The sequence below is a fragment of the Homo sapiens genome, chromosome 10 (assembly GCF_000001405.40).
Source record: "Homo sapiens chromosome 10, GRCh38.p14 Primary Assembly".
In the NCBI taxonomy this organism is placed as follows: Eukaryota; Metazoa; Chordata; class Mammalia; order Primates; family Hominidae; genus Homo; species Homo sapiens.
The window spans coordinates 78,465,737-78,475,239 of record NC_000010.11 but is presented as its reverse complement, the minus strand read 5'-3'; the positions used below and the strand labels follow the sequence as shown (position 1 = coordinate 78,475,239).

At 51.3% G+C, this 9,503-nt stretch overlaps 2 long non-coding RNA genes across 2 annotated transcripts, besides 1 other annotated feature; one reads left to right on the top strand and one right to left on the bottom strand.

Annotated features, from left to right (window-relative positions):
- Positions 1 to 1,282: 1,282 nt before the first annotated feature.
- On the bottom strand, positions 1,283 to 8,576 carry LOC105378378 (uncharacterized). The gene is made up of 2 exons (XR_001747515.2): positions 8,521 to 8,576; positions 1,283 to 4,037 (listed from the first exon to the last, which is right to left on the bottom strand). It is a non-coding gene; the product is annotated as an uncharacterized LOC105378378 (long non-coding RNA).
- Positions 2,245 to 3,202: an enhancer, noted in NCBI's record as "H3K4me1 hESC enhancer chr10:80231795-80232752 (GRCh37/hg19 assembly coordinates)". NCBI's record gives its function as "activates a minimal SCP1, AML or CMV promoter by ChIP-STARR-seq in primed H9 embryonic stem cells {active_cell/tissue: H9 hESC(primed)}" and the evidence as "EXISTENCE:reporter gene assay evidence [ECO:0000049][PMID:30033119]".
- Positions 5,572 to 8,010, top strand: LOC107984246 (uncharacterized). The gene is made up of 2 exons (XR_001747514.2): positions 5,572 to 6,445; positions 7,702 to 8,010. It is a non-coding gene; the product is annotated as an uncharacterized LOC107984246 (long non-coding RNA).
- Positions 8,577 to 9,503: the final 927 nt, after the last annotated feature.

Genomic DNA, 9,503 nt, shown 5'->3' with positions numbered 1-9,503 from the left:
TGCTGCTTTGCAGAAAGATGGAGGCACCTTTCCACTCCCACACCTTCCACGTCCCTGTTCTTAAACCAGAAGCCCAGTTCCTACAGCCACCACTCACCTGCAGAGGCTTCTCGATGACTGACCCATTTGGCCCTCATTTCCCTTACAGTAAGCTGTGTTGCCCATGTGCTTGGTGACACACAGCCCAGCCACCTGGCAGGGTTGTAGTGAGGATCCAATGGGACAGGGAGCCCTTAGCAGCCAGGGACCCCTCACTGCACAGATGCCCCAGTGCAGCATGGGGTAATCACTGACCAGATGCAATTTATGCATCACTGATGGGATCACCAGGGCCAGGTGAAGGCATTTAAAAGCACTTTGCCTTGAAAAGATTATGTGCCTCCCATATATAACGTAAAGTGAATTAACTCTAATCTGTTAGGTATGTGTAAGGACATCCAACAACATCATAAGTTTTCCTTTGACGAATATGTCCATGCTTTCTGTGAAATTATAAAATTCTTTCAAAAATATTTTTCTTTAAAATTGTTTTGTTTTTGGTGCCCCTGCTTTGCTGGTGCTCTGTTAAGTTCTTTTTTTTTTTTTTTTTCTTTTCTCACTCTGTCACCAGGCTGGGGTGCAAAGGTACGATCTCAGTTCACTGCAACCTCTGCCTCCCAGATTCAAGCGATTGTCCTACCTCAGCCTCCTGAGTAGCTGGGACTATAGGCGCGTGCCACCACACACGGCTAATTTTTTGTATTTTTAGTAGAGACGGGGTTTTGCCATGTTGGCCAGGCTGGTCTTAAACTCCTGACCTCAGGGTGACCTGCCCACCTTGGCCTCCCAAAGTGTTGGTATTACAGGCACGAGCCACCGCACCCAGCCCTGTTAAGTTCTAAGTCTTCCATCCAGTCAAAGAATTTAAAACCCAGAATCAAAATGTGGACAACATACCTCAGAATTTGGAGATCAGAAAAAGAGACCTCATAGGAATCCTTGGACCTGGTTGAGTTCACAGGGCTCATAAATTTACAGAAATCACATGCAGAATTGTATTTCTGGGGCGAAATTCTGCAGCTTCCATCAGATCATCCAAGGATCTATAGATTCATGGAATTGGAGGTACTGCCACATAGACCCTAAAAACCAGTAATATAAACTGGTGCAACCACTTTGGGAAACTGTTTGTCAATAGCTCCTAAAGCTGCATGTACTTACTCATATGCAATGATTCCATGTTTCCACACCTCAGTTTTTGCTCATCAGAAATGTGTACACAAGTACAAAAAAAACCAGCATGTACAAGAATGTTCATAAACAGCTTTATTCATAATAACTGAAAACTTGAAACCATCCAAATGTTCACCACGATAAATGGATACCTAAATTTCACTATCTTCATACAGTGAAATATCACAGAGCAGTGAAATGAAAAATCTGCAACAGTATCCAATGATAGTGAATATCACATCATAACATCGAACAAAAGAAACCAGACACAAAAGATTGCATAGTGTGGATGATTCCAGTCATACAAATACAAAAAGCAGCAGCATTAATCTATGTTGTTTCATGTTGGGATGGTGGTCACCCTGGTTGGGAGGAGTGATTAGAAGGGAGAATAAGGGGGGCTTCCATTTCTTAGTCTTGGGCTGCTTATATGAGTGTGTTCTGTTTGAGAAAAGTAATTGAGTTGTACCCTCATGCTTTTTGTATTTTTCTGTACGTATGTTACGATTCAATGACAAGTTGAAACTGTGATGTCTGTAATGTGATCCACATTTGATGAAATGGCTTTTGAGGCGTTCCTCAAGCTGACTTCAACTTTTGAGCCCAGAGTCTCCCAAAGGCCATGCATAGCCCTTATAGTGTGGAGTTGAGATTATCTGGCCTTTCTCTATCATCTCACTGGAGGCCAGTGACTGCAAAGTCCTGTCTTCTCCTGACAGGTCCGGCCCCCTTCCCGGAGCAGGTGCTCTGCCATGTCTGCTAAAAAATGTGTTGCTAATGTGATCCCTTCGAGAGGACATGGGAAAAGCAGGGCCTGGGAGCCTGAGGCTGGCCTTCCCACCCCAGCTGAGAGTCACCAGGCAATTGGCCTGCTCGGATTACAGACAAAGGGGGTGGGGGGGGTGGGGCGGGAGCAGGTTCACAGGGGGGCGAGGCCCAAATGAAATCACAGCTGGAAAAGCACTTTATGCGCTGTACATTGGCCTACCCATGCATGGGATTATTGGTATTGTTATTGTTATGGATAATGATAATAATAATTATTATTATTATAAATTAAAATGGTGTATTTTGTTCCCCTAACTGGAGAGCCCATTTGGAGCCCAGGGGGAATAGCATGCAGGCTACTTCCAATTTTTTTCCAATTTGGCTTTAAAAAATTCAGCATGAAGAGAGATTGGTCTGGGCAGTGATGCAGACAACACACAAAAAAGAGAGTGGGGGTGGGGGAGGGCTGGGAGCCCTACTGGGCTTTCAATCATCTGGCTGCCGAGTGCCCAGAGCCAGCGCCTGATTTCTGAGGGCAGCGAAAGCTGCACACTCATTAGAGCGGGCCTCCACCGGCTTTCAGGTTCAGAGTGGGCAATTGTTCTCAGCTCTCCGTGGAGGAGGGAGAGGAGGCTTGTGTTTACCAGGCTCAGAAACTGGCCCCAAAGAGCCTCCCATGGGTGGGCAGGAAGCCCACAGTCGCTGGGGTTCTGGGGTGACCCGGCTGTGTGACAGCCATTCATTTTCAGTGGGAGGGAGCCAATATCAGTCTACCCTGTGGGGAGGCCTGGAAGCTGCTTGTCTCTGAAGACAGATCCCAGGTGCTGCTTTCCCTCCGGAAGCGGTCTGGAGCATGGGGGCAGAGGACAGGCAGGGAGTGGTTGGAGGGGTGGTAGAATAGATACCAGGCCCAGACTCTGCCCTAGGCCTCAGCACAGGCCCCAAAGTGGGGGGCAGAGGGTTCACTCAGGGTGCCAAGCAGCCAGAGGCGCCGGCGGTCTGGTCAGATCAAAGAGCTTTGCAGCAGGTCCCAGGCATTTGGAGGCCTTTCAGAAGTTGGCTGGGGGAGTTGAGGGGATGAAGTGCAAGAGTTAGAGGGAGGGAGGAAAGAAAGGAGAGAGGAAGGGAGGGAAAAGTGAGAGACAGTGAGGGAAGTGGAGGGGAGGGAGGGCAAGGCTGGACCTGCAAGCATCTGGGCTATGTCTCTCTAGACAGCTTGCTGACTCCCTCAGACCTTCATTTTTCTTCATTTTTAAAATAGGGAGGGGCAGTTAATGTTTATTGAGCATTTACTGCCTTCCAGAAATGGCTCTAAGTGCTCTGTAAGCTTAACTTGCTCGATGCTATAAACCAGACACCACCGACATCCCCACCAGGCAGAGGAGAAATTGAGGGCACCGCCTGGGAGGTGATGCACTCAGAGCCTGGCAGCTAGAAATTCACAGGGCTGGGATTTGTGCTCAGGAACTTTCGTCCCAGAACCCCATCTGCGCAACCACACCACACTCCCTGTCAGCTCAGGGCTGGGGAGCACCTCATTCCACATCCAAGCCCCCACAATTCACATGCCACAGAACATAAGCCCAGGAAGGAGCTCCTGGGGTCCCAGGAGCAGAGGGGATAACGACACACACTGGGCCCTTCCATGCCACCATCCTCTGCACAAGCTGTGCCTTCAGCCTGGAGCGACTTCCTCTGGCCCCCACACCTCCACCACCTCCTCTAGGTGTCGGCTCCCCGAGGTGTCCGCAAAGCCTTCCCTGACCAGTCCGGCCCGGCCTTCCAGGCCCACCACATGACTCCTCTGGTGCCTAGTGCCGCCCTCCACCCCACAGGGTGGCCATTTGCACATCTCCTCCCCCAGGGGGCTCACTGATGCTGCAGTGATGATCCTGTCTTGTCCTTTTTAGTATCTCCAGCACCTGGCATGACAGTAAATTCATGCATAAATGCCCAAGGTCACAGAGCTGGGATGAGAACCCAAGGCCTTCAGAATGTCCATCAAACTGTCGCTTCCTGACCTCTCGAAATCACAGAAGCAAGATCAGATTCTAGGACTGAAAGGGGAAGAAACAGAATGTAAGTCCAGTGCCCCAGGTTAACAGAAGAGGAAACAGAGGCCCAGATAGGGCAAGACCCATGTCCAAGCCCACAGAAGCAGTTAGTTCTGGCCGAGCCAGGCCCGACTCCCTGCCCATCCTCCTGTAGTCTTATAAAACTCATCCCTTTGCTACCTGCAGGGGACTAAGGGAGTGCCTCTCTCTGGCTGCAGCTGGGTGGTTTTGTAGAGGATGTGGCTGAGAGTTCGTCAGCTGTGGCCCCACTCAGACAGCTCTCTGTCCATGGGTGGCTTTGTATTGGAGTGTGCTATCAAAGGACTTGACCTGGATCGAACCAATGGCCAATTACGCCTTCCTGTGGTGCACTGAGCTGAGCTTACTCAAGGCTGACAGGCTGAGGGGGTAAACAACAGTGCATGGGCATGCCATCCAAATCACCCTACCTATCCAAGCCTGGCGTGCAGCCAGGCATCCATTAGCTGTGTTACTCACTGGCTCTCCTTCAACCATCATTAGTCTCTCTGTTGTAAACATGAGAAAAAATGAAGTTCAGAGAGGAGAGGTAAGCAGCCTTAAGTTACACAGCTGGTAAGTGGATAAACCAGGATGCCAAGCCAGGCCTGCTGGAATGCAAACCCATACTCTCCCTGCTTTACAAAAATCCCTACATTCTGCAAGAGAGGCACTGAGTCTCCTCATCTAGCACCTGTCTGTGGGGCCTCACTTTCCTCATCTGTGAAATGGGTGGGGTATGAGAAAAGTACTCACTGGCCAGCCAGGACAAGGCACGAGTGGCAGCCAGGCTGGGGGCTGAAAAGAATGGGAGCCAAGTCAAGAGCTCTCCCATCATTTCCAAGGGCACAGTATTAACTCCCACATTTGCCCATCATTTGTTCAAGCAAAACCTTGTTCACCAAGGCCCAGTGAGGGTCTGGATGCCCAGAGGAGACTTTGGTCTGGAAGGAGGAAATACTCTTTCTATACCCATAAAACCAGTGAGCACAGAAAAACATGCCAGGTGCAATGTTCCCTGGCAATGTCTCCCAGAAAATTCCAAATCCTTCAGTGCTTGGTGAAGGGAAAAGCAGATTTTGTGGATAATTGCTTTAGGAAAACCCTGAGTTGAATGAAGCTCAGCAGATGACTGCAGGACTTTTCAGAGCCTTTAAAATGCTAACAAGCTTTCTAGTTCACCAAGAGAAGTGGAATGTTTTCGAAACATACTTGATCATGCAAAGTGTTTCAGAGCATTTCAGAAGAACAATGCCTGTGTTATACCCTTTAGAAAACCCTGTGCTGGGGAAGAGGAAAGTAGGAAGAGCTACAGTATATATTTAATTTACGGTAAAGAGGCAAGTAAATTAGAGGAGGACATATATTGCCAAATGAGGGGACAGCTTTTTCAGAAATGTGGCATTAAAAATGCACAGGCTTCCCTCTCCCTCTCCCTCTCCCTGCCCTCTCCCTCTCCCTCTCCCTGCCCTCTCCCTCTCCCTCTCCCCACGGTCTCCCTCTCCCTCTCTTTCCACAGTCTCCCTCTGATGCCGAGCCGAAGCTGGACTGTACTGCTGCCATCTCGGCTCACTGCAACCTCCCTGCCTGATTCTCCTGCCTCAGCCTACCGAGTGCCTGCGACTGCAGGCGCGTGCCGCCACGCCTGACTGGTTTTCGTATTTTTTTGGTGGAGACGGGGTTTCACCGTGTTGGCCGGGCTGGTCTCCAGCTCCTAACCGCGAGTGATCTGCCAGCCTTGGCCTCCTGAGGTGCCGGGATTGCAGATGGAGTCTGGTTCACTCAGTGCTCAATGGTGCCCAGGCTGGAGTGCAGTGGCGTGATCTCGGCTGGCTACAACCTCCACCTCCCAGCCGCCTGCCTTGGCCTCCCAAAGTGCCGAGATTGCAGCCTCTGCCCGGCCGCCACCCCGTCTGGGAAGTGAGGAGCGTCTCTGCCTGGCCGCCCATCGTCTGGGAAGTGAGGAGCCCCTCTGCCTGGCTGCCCAGTCTGGAAAGTGAGGAGCATCTCTGCCCGGCCGCCATCCCAACTAGGAAGTGAGGAGCGCCTCTTCCCGGCCGCCATCCCATCTAGGAAGTGAGGAGCGTCTCTGCCCGGCCGCCCATCGTCTGAGATGTGGGGAGCGCCTCTGCCCCACCGCCCCATCTGGGATGTGAGGAGTGCCTCTACCCGGCCGCGACCCCGTCTGGGAGGTGAGGAGTGTCTCTGCCCGGCCGCCCTGTCTGAGAAGTGAGGAGACCCTCCACCTGGCAACCGCCCAGTCTGAGAAGTGAGGAGCCCCTCTGCCCGGCAGCCGCCCCGTCTGAGAAGTGAGGAGCCCCTCCGCCCGGCAGCCACCCCATCTGGGAAGTGAGGAGCGTCTCCACCCAGCTGCCACCCCGTCCGGGAGGGAGGTAGGGGTCAGCCCCCGCCAGGCCAGCCGCCCCGTCCGGGAGGGAGGTGGGGGGGTCAGCCCCCCGCCCGGCCAGCCGCCCCGTCCGGGAGGTGAGGGGCGCCTCTGCCCGGCCGCCCCTACTGGGAAGGGAGGAGCCCCTCTGCCCGGCCAGCCGCCCCGTCCGGGAGGGAGGTGGGGGGGTCAGCCGCCCCGCCTGGCCAGCCGCCCCGTCCGGGAGGGAGGTGGGGGGGGTCAGGCCCCCGCCCGGCCAGCCGCCCTGCCCGGGAGGTGAGGGGCGCCTCTGCCCGGCCGCCCCTACTGGGAAGTGAGGAGCCCCTCTGCCCGGCCACCACCCCATCTGGGAGGTGTACCCAACAGCTCATTGAGAACGGGCCATGATTACTATGGCGGTTTTGTGGAATAGAAAGGGGGGAAAGGTGGGGAAAAGATTGAGAAATCGGATGGTTGCCGTGTCTGTGTAGAAAGAGGTAGACGTGGGAGACTTTTCATTTTGTTCTGTACTAAGAAAAATTCTTATCCTGTTGATCTGTGACCTTACCCCCAACCCTGCGCTCTCTGAAACATGTGCTGTGTCCACTCAGGGTTAAATGGATTAAGGGCGGTGCAAGATGTGCTTTGTTAAACAGATGCTTGAAGGCAGCGTGCTCCTTAAGAGTCATCACCACTCCCTAATCTCAAGTACCCAGGGACACAAACACTGCGGAAGGCCGCAGGGTCCTCTGCCTAGGAAAACCAGAGACCTTTGTTCACTTGTTTATCTGCTGACCTTCCCTCCACTATTGTCCTATGACCCTGCCAAATCCCCCTCTGCGAGAAACACCCAAGAATGATCAATAAAATAAATACATAAATAAATAAATAAATAAATAAATAAATAAATAAAAAGTGAAAAAAAAATGCACAGGCTATGTTCGGGAAGCAATGATCCCTCCGAATGTCTCTTCCCCACACTGGCATCCCCAGGACAGCCCTGTTTGTATTTGGTTTGCATGTCTGGCTTCCAAGAAAGATTTTATTTGACAAAAGCATTCTGCCACAGAAGGGGACATCTGTTGTTTTTCCTGTCCAACATCCATTCTCCCTGCTTCTGGTAATAGAATCTCAGTTTTCTTTAGGGAACACACCTCTTCCGCCTTCCGTCCATGTGGTTTAGGGCACTCCATGCCCCCCCTCCTCCACCAAGCCCCAGGTCTGCCAATCAATTTATTGTACCTCTAACATCATCTAACCTCCACCTCTGTGACTGGTTCACAGGTGGGCATATCAATCACAGTGGTCCAATGAGCCTTGAGCCAGAACTTCTGCTGGGATTACTGGAAAAAAAGCTCATTTATTGCCAGAGTTCCTGCAAGCTTGGAGCTGCTAGAGGCCATCTTTGCAACCTCGTGGGGAGATCTTTCGGGAAAATGAAACCATCACAAAGGCAAGCAGAGTCTAGAGACTGAAACAGATTTCTGTCAACATCCTATGGGCCCTTGCTCCCAGCCATGCCTGAAGTTGGCTGTACCTCCGGGACCTAGACATTTTAGTTACTCAAAATAATAAATTCTCTTGTGTCCGAAACCAATTTGAATTAGGATTCTGTCACTGGCAACTGACAGAATCAACTGCCTAACAACAGTTATAAAACATAGTCCCATACAGGTTTTTTGTTGTTGTTCTTCAACAAATTGTTCTTCATGCACATTATTCATTCATTCAAAATAATACATATTGGACATGTATTGTGTACATGTAACCTATACCGGTAAGGCTTCCAGGTACAGATGTTCAAGTTGTGCACTACCCAACTCCAGGGGATTGGCCTTCATGTAGTGCACTACCCAACTCCAGGGGATTGGCCTTCATGTAGTGGCCCCCTTGGGTTACACAGTGCAGCACCCTTGGGCCATGGGAATATACGAATATATAAATCAGCCCACCACACAGAAAGGGTCCATGTCTCACTACAGCCTCTAAACCCTGCCATTCTCTGGAGTGGTAAGGAAATGAAGAGACTCTTTACAGTAGGAAAAACATAAGGTGCGGTATTAGGACACCTGGATTGGCATCTTCACTGTATTATTTACTAACCAAGTGTGATGTTGGATAAGCCAGTTAAGTTTTCTTAGCTGTTGCTTCTTTATCTGTAAAATAGGAATGATAATATTACCATCCCTGTTGAAATCCTTTTTTTTTTTTTTTTTTTTTTTTTGAGACGGAGTCTTGCTCTGTCACCCAGGCTGGAGTGCAGTGGCACAATCTCAGCTCACTGCAAGCTCCGCCTCCCGGGTTCATGCCATTCTCCTGCCTCAGCCTCCCGAGTTGCTGGGACTACAGGCACCCACCATCATGCCCGGCTAATTTTTTGTATTTTTAGTAGAGGTGGGGTTTCACCATGTTAGCCAGGATGGCCTTGATCTCCTGACCTCGTGATCTGCCCGCCTCAGCCTCCCAAAGTGCTGGGATTACAGGCATGAGCCATCGCGCCCGGCGGAAATCCTTCCTATCCTTCAAAGCCCAACACGATCACCACCTCCTCCAAGAAGCCTTGCCTGATTGTCTCCGTGGCCACAAAGTGGTGACTCAGGAGGAAAAGAGAGAAGTAAAGGCGCATCATGGGTGAAGAAATGACCTGAGAACTTGAAATCCAAGCCCGGCCCATGCAGGCTGTTTTTCTTAGTCCTTCCTCGCAGCAGGGCTGAGGTGGGAGAAACCGGCTGTAAGCACACTCAGTGGGATGATTTGTGGATCGCCTCCTGGACACCTCAGAGTGCTACCTTGAGTGAGGGGAGAACAGCTGTCCTCTCATCTCATCACCTAGAATAAGAGAGAAGGCCTGTCTGTCACCTGCACCACCAAAGCTTGAGCACTATCAATTTGGGAAGAAGCGGCTGTAGTGGTCATCCAGACAGCACCTAACTCCCCAGGGAAGCAGGCTCCATTCTTCTCATCCCTACCTGTTTTTCCCATGGGTAGGGGGTGTGGATAAACTGTGGAAGGCAGAAATGACACCCCTGGCTTGTCATCATCCCCCAGATTTCAGGGTGGAGGGACTCTCGCAGTCACCCAACCTG